The sequence below is a fragment of the Homo sapiens genome, chromosome 8 (assembly GCF_000001405.40).
Source record: "Homo sapiens chromosome 8, GRCh38.p14 Primary Assembly".
NCBI lineage: Eukaryota > Metazoa > Chordata > Mammalia > Primates > Hominidae > Homo > Homo sapiens.
Genome location: NC_000008.11, coordinates 100,806,648 through 100,824,120, shown reverse-complemented (window position 1 = coordinate 100,824,120; position 17,473 = coordinate 100,806,648). Strand labels below are relative to the sequence as shown.

Genomic DNA, 17,473 nt, shown 5'->3' with positions numbered 1-17,473 from the left:
CAATGAAGAAACAGAGGAAGTTCTCAAATAATTGCAAACACTGGTATCACTTGGAGCTCTTTGGTTGCAAACAACAGAAATGAACACTGGGTAACTGAAGACAAAAAGAAATGTATTGAAAGGCTACAGGGTAGCCCAGAGAATCACAGGAAAAGGCTTAGTGAGGACAGAAACTGGGGTGACTCCAGAGATCCAGAGAGCAAGAACTAATGGGCAGCCCTGCCTTTTGGGATGAACCTGTTTTGCCATTTGGGGTCCTTGTGTCACATGGCTCAAGATCTCATTTTTATAGGGCAAGATTCTCATTGCTTAGTTCGGATCATGTGCTCATTTGATCAGGGATCAGGCACTTTGAAGTCTGCAAAGGACAGGGCTTGTGTCTCAGTGGAAAATAGATGGAGATGTGGATGTTGTGCAAGGGTTGTTTGCACGTAGTATTTACCAACCTGGGCTTTCCCCAGAGGGGTACAAGTAGGCTCAAGCTGAAATGAATTGTATGGCAGCATTGGTCATCAGAACTGAGATTGTAAATATTAGAAATAGAAATAGAGAAAGTGGCACAGGAGGAAAGAAACGGGAGACAATGTCCAAAAGAGTAACTTGAACGCTGAGGGTATTGGCAGGGGCGGGATATGGGGGCAGTTACTTCTTTCCTACTCACTGCTGTTTAGAGTTTCCTCTGTACAATCTGGGGGAAATGCCCCCCTTTGCTATACTCAAGGGAAGGCATTGGTGCTAACCATAGAAAATAGATAAATGTGAAAGAAATGAATAGGCCAGGCATGGTGGCTCATACCTGTGATCCCAGATTTTGGGAAGCCAAGGCAAGAGGATTGCTTGAGGCCAGGAGTTCAAGACTACCCTGGCCAACATAGCAAGACCCCATCTCTATTTTTTTAATTATAAAAAAGATAAATAAATGAATAGAACAAATTTACCAAGTCAAAATTTGAGCCAAAGCATAACAGCTAGGCTATATTTAGATATCTAAGGAAAAAATAAATAAATTTCTTAGATTACACATAGTTCCTCTTTAATCTTGTGCATACTTTTTAAAGTATACAACTCCATATAAGAAGAAAATAAAGTTGAGGCTTCTAATGAAGTTATTTAAGAAAAATAAGATCATATTAGAGATCAAACATTCAGAAAATCACACACACATACACAAACTTTTGTGATGAATTAACAAGTCAGAAAGAAAAAATGAATAACAGAGATATTAACAGGAAATGAAAAGGGTGGTTACAGTGCTGAGAGAGAGAGACTCACAGACAAGCCTAGAAGCCAAAAGGGCTACGCTGAGAAAACATTTAAAATCAAGACCAAAGGTCTACAATGCACAAAGGCAAATATGTCCTCACATAGAAGCCAGGAGGAACTCCTCCTTGATTAATTCACTTAACAAATAGGTACTGAGCTCCAGATGCATTCTAGATGCTATGCCAGGTCTCAAGGAGGCATGGCTATTGGCTCATGCCTTAGTCTGTTTGTGCAGTGATAACAGAATACCAGAGACGAGGTGATTTATAAACGACAAAAGTTTATTAGGTTCACAGTTCTGGAGGATGGGAGGTCCCAGAGCATAGCGCTGGCATCTGGTGAGGGCCTTCATGCTATATCATCCCATTGCAGAAATAAGATGGGCAAGAGAGGAGAGAGAGTGAGAGAGAGGGGGCTGAACTCATACTTTTATCAGAAACCCATTCCCATGATAGCTAACCCATTCCCATGATAACTAACCCACTCTGCAATAATGGCATTAATTCTTTCACCTCTCAACACATTAATCCACTCAAAGGTCCCACCTCTCAACAATGTTGCATTGGCGATTAAGTTTCCAGCACATGAACTTTGAAGGACACATTCAAACGATGACACTCATGGATTCTACATTTCCTACCACCATACTCTCTCATACGGAAATTCTTTACAGACCTAGCAACAAAAATTTGGGGCTATAATGTTCACTAAGCTTTTTAAAATTATTTTTTATGTAGCTGCTTGAGTTTATCCCTTTAAAAAGAAACACAAAAACATGAAAATACAGTATTAAACCTCATATTAATTTCACACCAGTTTTAAAATTTTTTCTAATTAAATAAAACCTTTGAAGTTTATCAACTCCTTTCAACAGCAAAGATATAATGTTGCTTAAGAGATCATGCTTCTATCATGGTAATAAATTTTAAAAAATTATTTAACATATCACTCTACTCAGTTGGAAAAATATAATAAAACATGAAGCAGGTTCAGAATTCAGAAGGATCGAGGCTGTCACTGCAGGTTGTTTTTGGAGAGGAGGAATAGGTTAAGAAATTTTCTGGATTTTGTCTAGGTCAGATTTAGTTCAAGCTTCAAAGAGAGAACAATATTGTTATTTGAGTTCAGTTTCAATTCAAATTAAAATATCAGTTTCCTACTTTGGGTTCATTTCAACTCCCTGCTGAGAGCTGAGAATGTTACTTGGTGGGAGAAAAGATGCCAGAGCAATTATTTTTTAACTCATTTTGTTAGCCACCTCACCCCACTGTAAACGAGTATAGCTGGCAGCTCCCGGATTCACAGAGCGTCGAAGCACAGTGGAAATCCTCCAGTCCACAGAATTCCTTACGCCCTGGGACATGTGGCCAGGGAGCCTTTGCGGAGCTCATACTCTCCTCCAGTGAGAGGCAGAAAGGACGCCTTGGATGTGGGGCTAGTGTCAGATGGGGCCCTTGTCTGTGGGTTGGCTGGGGGTGAGAAGGCTTAGCAGCCAAGAGGTGGACTGTGGGAAAGGGACGCTTAGTATCAAGAAGGAATCCAGGGCCATGAGTTGGACTCAGTCCTACATAGGAAGAAAGGTCAAGACAGGCATGAAGATGCTTGTTTTCTGCTCTTTATCCTTTCCCGAAGACCCTGACAAAGAAACTCAGGGTCTAGAGGAAAAACTGAATAATCTGGAAAGGTGCCAACACGAAGTGACACAAAGGGTAGCGATGGAAACACCTGCTTCTTTCTCCTCCCTACCCTATCCCACGTGCTAATGTATCCATCACAGCCTTGCTGAGGGGGGCTGGTCTCAGGCTGCTGCCCATCCACCGACACCCACATCAGCCCCTGTGTCTGTCCAGTCCTGGCCACCTGGCTTCTTTATGGAGGCAGCCCAGGCGCTGCTCAAAGTGACAATCACTGAAGCCCATTTCCCACCCCAACTCACCTTTAAAAAAGAGATTTGGAAGACTTTCTGGGAAAGTCTTTACGTAAAAACAGTAAAGTCTTACCATGTATAGTATTGCACTAGATCCTGTCATTAAACTTACGTTCTCCTGTTAAGCCTGGTCATTTGCCATTTATGCCCTGTTTATAATTATTTTGAAGGACTGACAATTTTTTTTAAAAAAACTGGCTGGGCAAGGTGGCTCATGCCTGTATTCCCAGCACTTTGGGAGGCCAAGGTGGGAGGATCACTTGAGCCCAGGAGTTCCAGACCAGCCTGGGCAACATAGTGATACCTCATCTACTAAAAATTTAAAAAGTAACTGGACATGGTGGCACATGCCTATAATCCCAGTTACTCAGGAGGCTGAGGTGGGAGGATCGCTTGAGATCAGGAATCCGTGGTTTTGCAACTGCACTCCAGCCTGAGTGACAGAACAAGACCCCGTCTCAAGTAAATAAATAAATAAATAAATCTAAATGAAAGGCCACATTAAACATTCTGAGTTTGTTGTAATCCTCCAACAGTTGGAATTATCAATAATACATATCACACGGTGGTTTGGTGTGGTTTTTTGTTTGTTTTGTCTTGTTTTTCTTTTTTAATGGTTATTATGTTTTGTTTTTTAAATTGTAGTAATATAACATAAAACTTACCATTTTAACAATTTGGAAGTGCATTGTTCTATGGCATTAAGTACATTCACATTATCATGCAACCATCACCACCATCCATCTCCAGAACTTCTTCATCTCCCCAAGCTGAAACTTTGTACCCACTAAACACTCATTCCCCATTTCCCCCTCCCCTTAGCCCCTGGCAACAACCACTCTACTCTCTAAGATTTTGACTACTCGGCTAGGTGCAGTGGCTCATGCCTGTAATCCCAGCACTTTAGGAGGCCGAGGCAGGCAGATCATAAGGTCAGGAGTTCGAGACCAGCCTGACCAACATGGTGAACCCCATCTCTACTAAAAATACAAAAATTGGCCAGACATGGTGGCAGACACCTGTAATCCCAGCTACTTAGGAGGCTGAGGCAGGAGAATCACTCGAACCCAGGAGGCGGAGGTTGCAGTGAGCTGAGATCGTGCCATTGCACTCTAGCCTGGACAACAAGAGCGAGACTCTGTCTCAAATAAAAAAAGATTTTGATTGCTCAAGGTACCTCATATAAGTTATAAGTAGAATCATACACTGTTTGTCCTTCCATGACTGGTTTATTTCACTCAGCATAGTGTCCTCAAGGTTCATCCATGTTGGAACATGTGTCAGAATTTCCTTCTTTTTTAAGGCTGAATCATATTCCATAACCCTTCCAAGAATCCTATGAAGTCACTATAACCACTATACAGAGAAGGAACTGAGAGGCTCAATATCTATTTAATAGTCCATTATTTTACCCGTTGATTTTAAATGCTGCCTTTATCATACATTGCCATATATACATAACTGTTTTTGTTGTTGGCTTTTTTTGCATGTTTTGGCTGTTGTTTTGAGACAGAGTATCACTCTGTCACCCAGGCCGGAGTCCAGTGAGCAATTACGGCTCACTGCAGCCTCCACTTCCTGGGCTCAAGTGATCCTCCCACTTCAGCCTCCTGAGTAGCTGGGACTACAGGCATGTGCCACCGCACCGGGCTAATTTGTGTGTGTGTGTGTGTGTGCGTGTGTGTGTGTATTTTTTGTAGAGACAGTGTCTCACTATGTTGCCCAGGCTAGTATCAAACTCCTGGGCTCAAGCAATTCTCCTGTCTCAACCTCCTAAAGTGCTGGGATTACGGGCATGACCCACCATGCCCAGCCCTACATGACTGTTTTTAACTCTCTATTCTGTCCCACTGGTGTGTTCAATTATCTCTGCCCCAGTAACAAAACCTTGAATTATGGCTTGATTATGTTTTCCTATTTGATAACGTGATACCTTTTTTCCCAAAAACATCTTGTTTTTCTTAAATAGATTTTCCCTGAATAAGCCCTATATTTTAATTTTATTTAGTTTGTTGTCTAGGGGAAACATGCACATATTACCCAAATACAAAAGACACAATAAGGTAGACAATGACTAAGTCTCCCTCCCCTAAATTCTATCATTCAATTCCCCCTCAATAGGCTTTACCAGTTTATCTGCCCTTTCAGAAATAATCCACACACATGAACTTCAAAATCAGTGTATCAAGAGCTACCAAAAAATCCAGTTAAAATTTTGATTAGGAGTGAATTAAATTTATAGATTAATTTTTTAAAAACTGACATCTAGACAGTAACAAGTTTTCTCATTCAGCAGCTAGAATATCTTTCACCTTCTTTTGGTCTTCTTTTATGTTCTTCAATAAACTTTGATAATTTTAGATCTTTTATAATTATAGATCTCCCATATTTCTGATGGTACTTATGCGTAAGTATTTTGTATTTTTTGTAGTATTCTGATGTATTGATTTTGTATCTTTCTTATTAATCTGATAATTTCTCATTTTATTATCATGCATTTTCTATCTGGATAATGATATGGTTTACAAATAGTGGCAGTTGATCACTTCCTTCCCATCTTTTTTTTTTTTTTTTTTTTTTTTTTGAGACAGGGTCTCACTCTGTGGCTCAGGCTGGAATGTAACGGCACTATCTCAGCTCACTGCAACCTCCACCTCCATGGTTCAAGCAATTCTTCTGCCTCAGCCTCCCTAGTTACTGGGATTACAGGTGCCCGCCACTACACCTGGCTAACTTTTATATTTTTTGGTAGAGACAGCGTTTTGCCATATTGGTCAGGCTGGTCTCGAACTCCTGACCTCAGGTGATCTGCCCGCCTGGGCCTCCCAAAGTACTGGGATTACAGGCATGAGCCACTGTGCTCTGCCCCTTCCAATCTTTATACTGCTTTTCTTGTACGTATTTTATTGGTTCACTGAGACTTTTAGCAGACTCCACTGAATAGTAGCGATGGTAGGAGGCATCACCATCTTCTTCGTGTCTTTGTGAGAATATTACTTTTACTCCATTCAGTGTGATGTTTGCTGTGTGTTTCCAGTAGCTATTTCCATATTTTTCATCTAGTAAGAGTCTTTAATAGCAATGGCGTTGAATTTAATCAAAAGCTTGTTCACCATCTACTGAGATACTCAAATGGTTTTTCTCCTTTAAACTATTAATTAATGTATTGAATTACATTAATAGATTTCCTAGTGTTGAACCACTTTTGCATCCCTAAAATTAGCCCTACTTGGTAATAATGCACCATTTAAATAATATTTCACTTGGTGTTTTTGCATCTATGCTCATAAATGAGATTAAGACCTTAATTTTGAAAGTCCTGAATGCCAGGGTAAGGAATCTGGATTTCTTTGCTGAAAAACAATAAGATTTGATTAATATTTTTACCATCATGAAAATTATATCTTGGCCACTCCAGTGATAAGAATTTATCTTCTGTGAATTATCTGGGTGTCCTTTCTGTTCTCTATTGCTGAATGTTTCTAACTTTATCCTGCTCCAGACAGTGTTGTTTAATGACTATTGTGGAGATATGGCTGCAACTCTTTCCTTTTCTCTTAATTGGAAATCAATCTATTTTATATAACTATTGTTTTGGTTTTTGTTTTTTTTTTCTTTGGACAGTGTCTTTCTCTGTCACCCAGGCTGGAGTGCAGTGGCATGATTTCGGCTCACTGCAACCTCCACCTCTCGGGCTCAAGCAATTATCCTGCCTCAGCCTCCTGTGTAACTGGCATTACATGCGCACACCACCATGCCCAGCTAAGTTTTGTATTTTTAGTAGAGACAGAGTTTTCCCATGTTGGCCAGGCTGATCTCGAACTCCTGACCTCATGATCTGCCCGCCTCAGCTTCCCAAAGTTTTGGGATTACAGGCATGAGCCACTGCACCCGGACTGTTTTTTTTCCCCCCACAATTTCATGCCATTGTGTTTTTGCACAAGAGTGGCTTGCCAAGAACGGGTGTGGAGCTCTGTGAAGAACAGCTCTATTGGGAAAGTAGAGGCATCCCAAAGGCCCCCTTCAGTGACTATTACAGGAGCAGGACATAATTATACTATACAAGCAACAGCAGGATGACCACACTTGCTGAAATTTCCAGAAATGTTTAGGTATCCAGATCTACAGTCAAGCCACCTGTCAGCATGCATGCCCTTCTTTGTTGTTCTGGAAATAAGGTCACCATGGGCAGAGGGAGGCCAGCTAAAATCCACCTAGTTCGCCAGAAAGCCTAAGATATGCTAAGGAATTCAAATCCTCAAAAAAATCTCAGTGGGAAACACATTTGTTGGTCCTTGTGGACTCCTGAAAATAATACTCCCTCCAGCAGCCTCAGAAGCCACACAGTGCCTTTAAGATGTCACCAGTGGTGACAGCAGGTGTGCTGAGAACTTGACTGACTCCCAGCTATCACGTTGGCCTCCTGAGCTCTGGACTGCAGGTTTGTGGTTCTGCTTGGGAGTGCTTCTTGATACCTCTGGCCCACTTCTAGTTGTGCCTCTATCCATTCTCCCCTTTTTTCCATGATAGCAGGTCTTTGCTCAAGCAAAGACCACATTTCCCAGGCTCCCTTGCAGCTGTGTGGCCACATGACTAAGTTCCTCCCAGGAGCCTTTGAACAGGTCTTTCCCTTCAAACAACTGGGTAAACGCTCCACTAATACATTTCCTATTTCCACAGACATAGAAGCTGGGAGTGGGAAAGAAAGACCACAGATTGGCTGGGCACAGTGGCTCATGCCTGTAATCCCAACCTTTTGGGAGGCTGAGGTGGGTGGATCATCTGAGGTCAGGAGTTCGAGACCAGCCTGGCCAACATGGTGAAACCTCATCTCTACTAAAAATACAAAAATTAGCTGGGCGTGGTGGCAGGTGCCTGTAATCCCAGCTACTCAGGAGGCTGAGGCAGGAGTATCACTTAAGCCCGGGAGGTGGAGGTTGTAGTGAGCTGAGATTGCACCACTGCACTCCACCCTGGGCAACAGAGCGAGACTCCGTCTCAAAAAAAAAAAAAAAAAGAAAAAAGAAAAAGAAAGACCACAGATCACACGGCTGCCCCTCAGTCTCCTACTGTAAAGGTACAGTATATCTCTGGCGAGCTTGCCTAACTGTAAGGGATAGTCATACTTTGGCAGGTAGGGGAACAGGAGCCAAGCATCTTAACCCCCTCCTATGTTTGGGGACGTGCCCACTGTATGTGTGTGGGTATGGAACATGCCCCACTTCCTACCGAGGAAGCCCTAAAGGCCTGTTACTCCCATATGAGAGAGACCAAAGCTTCATAAATGCCCCAAGTTGGCTCTGGAGCAGGAGGACTGGAGAGTGGGGCAGTTTAATGTAAGTTGGGGGGATGAATCATAATTGTACAGTAGTTAAGCATATGTTGGTTCAAAACACAAAGGCTGGGAAATTAAGTTGCATCATATAACAGATTTAATCAGACATAATGAAATAAAGCTAAGGGGAGAAAATCTAAATTATAAACACAAGAAAAAAGTCTAATATCGCGCTAACTAGATTATTACAAAACATTTTTAGGAATTCCAGCAGGGCTCCTACTTTTCTGCAAGGCAGATTAAACAACACATTTTTAACTTTAATTATGGCAAGAAAACCTAAATGTTGGTTAAAGCTTAAAGGATAGACTCCCTGGGTTGACACAGTAGAAAAACCTCCAAGGAGAAATTACATTCAGAGACACAAGTTGAAAAACGTAAATAAATGAAATACATTTACAAATTAATGAAACAAATGGATTTTTAAAAAATGAATGATAAGGGTTACAATGACTAGTAACAGCCACTTTTAGAAAGTTTAATTAGCAGCTATGGCACAAGGTCTGGTGAATTAGAAAGGCCAGATGAGGCCGGGCGCAGTGGCTCATGCCTATAATCCCAGCACTTTGGGAGGCCGAAGCAGGCGGATCACTTGAGGTCAGGAGTTCGAGACCAGCCTGGCCAACATGGAGAAACCCTGTTTCTACTAAAAATAAAAAATTAGCCGGGCATGGTGGTGCATGCCTGTAAGCCCAGCTACTCAGGAGGTTGAGGCAGGAGAATGGCTTGAACCCGGGAGGCGGAGGTTGCAGTGAGCAGAGATCACGCCATTGCACTCCAGCCTGGGCAATAAGAGTGAAACTTCGTCTCAAAAAAAAAAAAAAAGAAAGGCAAGGTGAGTCCTGAGAGTTAGCTTAGCTACATTATGTGTAAGACAGAAATTTTACCATATGTGTTTGTAAAATAATCTACAAAGCAGGCAAATGGGATCAGTATTCTCAGAGAAACAGTGAGTGGATAGCAAAACTCTATTACAATAGACAGGTCAACCACACTAAGTAGAAGGTTATAGGTTTGAAAATGGATACACCTGATGGCTTGGTGGGCTAAAACCTGAAACTGGGTGATGATCATCAAAAGAAATTATCCAACACCTCACTCACCATCATGAATAGTCTATGGATTTTATTAATACACTAGAAGTCAAAGACTATTGTTTTGTTTTGTTTTGTTGTTGTTTTGAGACAGAGTCTTGCTCTGTTATCCAGGCTGGAGTGCAGTGGCATTTCCTTGGCTCACTGCAGCCTCAACCTCCCAGCTCAAGTGATCCTCTTGCCTCAGCCTCCAGAGTAGCTGGGGCTACAGGTCCATGCCACCATGCCTGGCTATTTTTATTCATTTTCTGTAGAGACGGGGTCTCACTATGTTGCCCAGACTGGTCTCAAACTCCCAGACTCAAGTGATCCTCCTGCCTCAGCCTCCCAAACTGCTGGGATTGTAGTCATGAGCCACCATGGCCGACCAAAGACCGTTGTTTTAGCGATTATTGTAAATACTTTCTTACATCTCCACTAGACTGTTAGCTTGCAGTGATCCCTGAAGTCAGTAAACAGTTAAAATACCTTATAAGTAGTAGGAACTCAATAAATAGGAATATTTAAAGCATAATTGTACAGTTGCTCATCCCTGTGTCCCCGTCACCACGTAGACTGTAAATACTCAATAAATAGTAGCTGAATTAATGTTGAGACAATGTTATTGCATTTTCAGTCTTACCTAGACTCATTTTTGCTCACCTTCCATTCTGAAAGCCCCATCCTCCACTACGTAACAAATAGCTCTGTTGTATTTATGTTCTGGGACTTGATATTAAATGCATTCCTTATTCTGGGCTGCAGCAAGGAATGTTTGAAAACGAATGCTCTGCTAAGCCCTTAAGGGGAAATAGGAGTCACCCAGCAAAAGGGTGAGGGCATGGGGGAAGGTAGAGGGGAGGGTACAAACTGGAGCTGTGCACAAAGTCCCCAGAGGTGATGGTCAAGGAGCAGAAGGACGCTTCCGGTGGCTGGAGGGTGGTGAGTGGAGGAAACAAGTCACCCCAGGGTACTGCCTCAGTTTCTACTGTAGGGGCGGAAAGGTGTGATCCCTTTCCTCGCGCATCATAAGGGTCACAGCCGACATTTCTATAACAGACAGGTTAACAAGGGAAAAACGTAACAGATTTGCTTAATCAAAGTTTTATGTGACACAGGACTATTCAGACCCAAAGACCCAAAGGAAAAATGGTCCATTTTTATGCTTAGGTTCAACAAAGCAGGGACAGCAGTGCAGAAATGTGATGGGCAAAAGGGTGTGATCTAATGGTAATGGACTGAGGGGGGACCATCTGCTCAGATTCTTCTTGGGCTCTGTGTAGCATTTCTTCTTCCCGGGTGTGGGGCAGGACCCCTCTTGGAATGAGGGTCTTCAAGGGAAAAGGGAGAGTGTGGCCTTTCTAGACGTTACTGCTTGCTGTAGGGGAGAAGGGTTCTAGTTTCTATTGCCCACCTTGGGGAAGAGGAATTCTGGTTTCTATGACTTGCTTCAGGGGAAAAAGAGGGACAAGAGACAGAGGGCAGGAGAAGGTCAGAGAGAACTTGCACCTGAGGCTGCTTCTGAGGACTTCCAATTTCCTTCAGTTCAAAGCTCTCAGCATGCCAAAGCCCCTTACTTTGGGGTATTTTTTTTCTGAGTTCCAACAAGACCAAGTTCCATATTGTAGTTGGAGGCCACATCTGGCTTGCAGATAACTTTCCTTTGGCCTACACAGGGGAACTTTTTTCATGCAAAAGTTTAAAAGTTGGAATAGTTCACATGAAATCCAGATTTCTTATTTCTCCTGAAAAATTAGATCTGCTAGTACCGGGCTCATGTTTCTTTACGGCAAGAATCTGCTGAAGCTGAGCCATAGCCCCAGCTTAGACACAGGGTGCCCCGTCGCTCCAGGGGCCCCAGTTCTCACCACCTGCTTCTTAACACCAGCTCTGACCACGTGGCCTCTATGGGCCCAGCTCTCTAGGCAGCCTCAGGTCCTCTGTTGCCTGCTCTATGGCTGACCCAGGTAGACCTGGGGCACTGCCTTTGCCGTGTGCCTGTGAGGCAGGAAAGTAGGGTGTGGGGGCAGGGAACATAAGGCCAATTCACACTTCAGCTATGCCAGGAAATATCCCCTTCATAGGGCGTACACCGAGTAAATGACTTTGTAACTTTACTTCATCCTCTTCATTTACATAGGGAATATACCAAGTAACCAATGGAAACCTCTAGAGGGTATTTAAACTCCCAAAAATTCTCTCTTTTTTTTTTTTTTTTTTTTTGAGACGGAGTCTCGCTCTGTCACCCAGGCTGGAGTGCAGTGGCACAATCTCGGCTCACTGCAAGCTCCACCTCCCAGGTTCATGCCATTCTCCCACCTCAGCCTCCCAAGTAGCCGGGACTACAGGTGCCCGTCACCACGCCTGGCTAATTTTGTTTTTGTATTTTTAGTAGAGACGGGGTTTCACCGTGTTAGCCAGGATGGTCTCGATCTCCTGACCTCGTGATCTGCCCGCCTCAGCCTCCCAAAGTGCTGGGATTACAGGTGTGAGCCACCACGCCCAGCCCTTAAACTCCCAAAAATTCTCTAACAGGGCCCTTAAGCTCCTACGCTTGGCCTGCTCCCATGCTGTGGAATGTACTTTCATTTTCAATAAATCTCTGCTTTTGTTACTTCATTCTTTCCTTGCTTTGTTTGTGTGTTTTGTCCAAATCTTTGTTCAAGACACCAAGAACCTGGACACCCTCCACCGGTAACACCTGGACCCATCACACAGCCACCTCCACCCTGGGCTGTTTTACTTAGGGAGGGCAGCAGAATGGGACCCAAGCTCTACGTGGTGCTGTCCAGTCCCACAAACACATCAGTGAGTCCTTGTTGCACTTGGCAGTGCCTGAAATTTTAAAATATCATTTGTTCACAGGTTTATGCTCTGTCTTACACACCCTGGGGAAATGGACTCTGTCTGCGTCTCACCATTGAAAGCCCAGGGCCTAGAACAGTGCCAGGCACACATGCCCAGTGCTCAGTAAGATTCTGTGCTGTGCCCGATATCCTTCCCCTGATGTTCTCAGGGACTCCCCAGAACCTGAGCTCTCCCCGCTCCCTCCACCCTGAGGACTCCTTACCTGATCTGGGAGGTAGGGTGGGAAGGTGGCTTGGAAATCTCGTGGACCCTTCTTGGATCTACTGCTTTTGCTAGAGTGCTTCCCTTTCCCCACAGGCCCAAACTATTGAAACTCAAAGGCTAGGAAAGACCCCTTCCCTTCTGAGACACTAAGGGAGTTAGCCAAGGACTTCCAACCTGAGCTGCCTCAGTGGGAGCTGCCTGGAGCAGCACCATCCAGGAAAAATATAATGCAAGCCATCTGTATAATTGTAAATTTTGCAGTAGCCTCACTAAAAAGTGCAAAAAGAGGCTGGGCACGGTGGCTTATGCCTGTAATCCCAGCACTTTGAGAGGCCGAGGCATGTGGATCACTTGAGGTCAGGAGTCTGAGACCAGCCTGGCCAACATGGTGAAACCCTGTCTCTACTAAAAATACAAAAAAAATAGCTGGTTGTGGTGATGCGTACCTGTAGTCCCAGCTACTCTGGAGGCTGAGATGGGAGAATCGCTTGAACCTGAGAGGCAGAGGTTGCAGTGAGCTGACATCATGCCACTGCACTCCTGCCTGGGTGACAGATCGAGACTTCATCTCAAAAAAAAAAAAAAAAAAAGCAAACAAACAAACAAACAAACCCGAAAAAAATGCAAATAGAAACAGGTGTCATTAATTTTAATATAGTTTATTTGACCCATATATCCGAAATGTTATTATTTCAACATGTAATCAATATAAAAAGGTTATTAATGAGATAATTTGTTTTTTCTTTGTACCAAGCCTTCTGATCTTGGTGCATATTTTACACTGACAGCGCCAGCCACATTTCAAGAGCTCAATGGCCACATGTGGCTAGTGACTTCCTATTGGGCAGTGCAGACCAGAGACAGGAAGCTGGGGAGAAAACCTCCATCAGTATTGTTGTGGCTTTGTTGTTGCTGCTGCTGCTGCTGCTGCTGCTGCTGCTGTTGTTTTGAGACAAGGTCTGGCTTTTTCACCCAGGCTGGAGTGCAGTGGCACGATCTCGGCTCACTGCAACCTCTCCTGGGTTCAAGTGATTCTCCTGCCTCAGCCTCCGGAATAGCTGGGATTACAGGCGTGCATCACTATGCCCGGCGAATTCTTTTATTTTTAGTAGAGATAGGGTTTTACCATGTTGGCCAGGCTGGTCTCGAACTCCTAATCTCAAGTGATCCGCCCCCCTCGGCCTCTCAAAGTGCTGGAATTGAGGGATATTTTAAAATGTCACCTCCCACCTTCATCGTGGCATCTCCAGGATCTGGCGCAAGGCCTTGCATGTAGTCTGGGCTCTGGGCAGGAGGCAGGAGGGTAGGCCGGGGATGAGAACCGGGGTGGGGGGTGGGGGAAGTGGTCGCCACCCTGTGCTTTCACGCTGGCCTCGACCGCCTCTAAGGTGGAGCCCCCGCATTTCCTTCCTGGCAGGCTGCTTTAAGTGTGCCTAAAGCTAGGAGGACCCCTCTCTCCAGTTCCCTCTGGCAGGTTGCGGGGAAAGAGGGGAACAAAGAAGCCAGCCCCTCCCAGTTGTCTCAGCCTAAGCTAGGACAGGGCTCCGAAGGTGGGGGGGATGTGCGTAGCGCTGCCTCTCCTGGCCGCCTCCTGCGTTTCCGCGGGCTTCCCGGGCCCCTCGCTGTCGTAGTATTACTGCCAAACGTCTTTCCTGTGTCGTCTGTGTTCCGCAAAGGTGCGTTTACAGCGTCTCTGCACCAATCAGCCTGAAGGGTAATTGCCCTATAATGGGGCCTGGCCTTGTTTCAGATCCTGCCATCAAAGGTCTCAAGGATCTCTACCAAGCACGCCCCCTTTTTACTGGAGGGGACGCGGCCTGGAAGCCAGCGGCTGCCCGTAAACAGTGAGTGACTCAGGAAGGAAGCCGGCGCCATGCCCTCCAATGGCACGACGGTGGAAGGATGTCTCGGGAGTTCTTCCTTGCTGAGCAACATTGCATTTCATTTAAGGGGGTGGTTCCCACGCTTGCACATGCAGCCTATCTTCCTAGCCACGTTTTGACAGAATACCTGAAATGAATTACATATATCCTTGCTCTGTTCAGTAGAGGATGATGATGAACATATTCTAATTCTTTCATCATAAATCATGCTTACGGTTATGGTTAATCATTCTTAAATGATGCTTTAAACGTAATTATTTGTTGTCTCTTTTCTAGCCATCACTCCTAGATGTCACTTCTGTTATCTGATCCCTGCTTGCCCCAAATGTTGCCCCTTTTCAAATGCTCCTTTCCTATTGGCTGGGATCTGTCTTCTACAGATAACTGTAGATAACTTCTAATATAACTAAGTCTTGTAGAAATGAGGTGGAAACAATAGCCTCGAAGCATCATCGAAGGGACGCTCGCCTAGTTAGCAATACATAAGTGCTTGGGCTTTGTCATAACTGTTTTAGCACCTCAGAGATTTTTTTTTCTGAATGTTCACTTATCTACAGATAAATTGAGGCACTCCTTTATTTGCTTGTAAATATTACTTTTCTAGAGTATACCAAGTTTCTCTGCTTTTTATGTCATGTAATCTTTTAAGATGTTGGAGAAAATGGTTCCAACTTAAGATCCAAGCTCAGGGAACTTCCGGGAGAACACACAAAGCTGGCATTATTTTGCCGCATCAAATGTTCTCAGTTTTCATTAACCTCCGGGCACATTTACAAATACTCTTAAAGAAAGCATTCATAGCTTACTATCTACCAAAGGAAAAATGGAAACCAAACCTGCTTTCTCTCACACCTATCTTTAAAAAATATATTCATAGAGTTTCTGACTGTAAAAGTGGAAAGGAATGATCACCAGTTGGCAATAGAAGCAATTGTTTTGAACTCCCATGTCATGATTATGTTGTGATGGAATCAGAGGTCCTTCTATTTTCTTATCCTTGGGAACATTTCTTCTTTGCCCTTATCTCTATAAAACCCTAAATTTTTGAGACCTTGACAAATATAAGTCTTATTCTCAATAAAGGGAGAAGTGTGATTGCTTCCAATCCTTTCTTCAGATTAGGGAAGAGCAAAGTGCTCCCCTGGGAAAAAGAATCCAGGGACAAAACTGGTGGCAACGTGAAAAGTCAAGGGACAAAAAGTTTGCCGAAGCTGATCTTCATGGAAATGGGATGATATGACACCAGATGAAATAGATGCCCCGGATATCCCAGTAGTGGTCACAAACTGTGGTAGAAGATGGGTTGTGACATTGTGGGGCTTACTAAGCAGTAATTTTGCCAAAGAACTGCTGAAAGGTGTTGCAACAGATCTCAATAGCAAGAGAGTGCACCCTGAGGAGCACAAATAATTCCTGCGCTGGGTTGACCAGAGGTGACCAACAAGCCCTTTTAATTGTACAGTGCTTACTTTATTTATATTTATTTACTTATTTTTTTGAGACAGGGTCTTGCTCTGTTGACCAGGTTGGAGTACAGTGGCATGATCTTGGCTTACTTGACCTCCCAGGCCCGAGCTATCCTCTCATCTCAGCCTCCCAAGTAGCTGGGACTATAGGGCACATGCCACCATGCCCGGCTAATTTTTAAATTTTTGGAAGATACAGGGTGTATTAGTCCATTCTTATGCTGCTATAAAGAACTCCCTGAGCCTGGGTAATTTATAAAGAAAAGAGGTTTAACTGACTCAGAGTTCAGCATGGCTGGGGAGGCCTCAGGAAACTTACAATCATGGCAGAAACGGAAGCAAACAGTTCCTTCTTCACATGGCAGCAGCAAGAAGAATAAGTGCCCAGCAAAGGGGGAAGCCCCTTATAAAACCATCAGATCTCATGAGAACTAACTCACTATCATGAGAACAGGATGAGGGAAACTGCCCCCATGATTCAATTATCTCCACCTGGTCCCTTCCATAATACCAAGGGATTATGGGAACTACAATTCAAGATGAGATTTGGGTGGGGACACAGCCAAACCATATCACAGGGTTTCACCATGTTGCCCAGGCTGGTCTCAATCTCCTGGGCTCAAGTGATCCTCCTGCCTTGGCCTCCCAAAGGCCTGGGATAACAGGTGCGAGCCATTGTGCTCAGCCTCAACACTTACTTTTTGCTGAGAGACACAACCTCCTGCAACCTAGGGAAATATTTGAAAGCTCATAGCAGTGTTTACTCAACAAGTAAGCCATGAAGAAGCTACACCTTTCCAGGAAGCCTATGAGGCAGGGGCCAAACCACAAGGGAGGAAATAGGTGTCACCAGGTGCAGCCCTGCTCTACTTCTGACTCACCGTCTGACCAGGCTCCTCTGGCTTCACTGTGCCTCACTTCTCCACCTGTCAAATGGAAGGAGGAGGGGATGGGATGGTTTTCTTGGTAAAATTCCCTGAAATCTTTTGCTGAAAGGTTCTTCAGAAAGGGAAGATAGTATGGTTATCCCTTGGCTATTAGGTATGTGGTTGCTATGACTAGGGTTTGGAATAGTATCACAACGTCATATAGCTATTTACAATAGCAAATGGGCATATAAGGATCCAGGAAGAGCTAGAAGTCCTCAGTAGGACATGCATTCCAGAAGGCTGAGGCTCAATCTTTCCAAGCACCAAATAGCCCTGTGCGTGCGCGCGCACACACATATACACACACACACACGCACACACTCCCATGGTGTTTTGGGAGCCTCTCATCTCTCTTTGCTCCAAGGCAAGGTCAGACTCTCACAAGGACAATCTAGCACTTCCCAGCTGCTCTGGGGGAGGAAAAGCAGGTGCCCAATACCCATGTGTCCTGCTCTTTCAGCAAAGATGGCCCTAGAACCACCCTAGAGCACCACTACTAGAATGTGACCCGCTCACAGCACCTGT

General features: G+C 44.2%; 1 annotated feature.

Annotated features, from left to right (window-relative positions):
• Nucleotides 14,377-14,426: an enhancer, noted in NCBI's record as "active region_27715". NCBI's record gives its function as "activates an Ori minimal core promoter by ATAC-STARR-seq in GM12878 lymphoblastoid cells {active_cell/tissue: GM12878}" and the evidence as "EXISTENCE:reporter gene assay evidence [ECO:0000049][PMID:35858748]".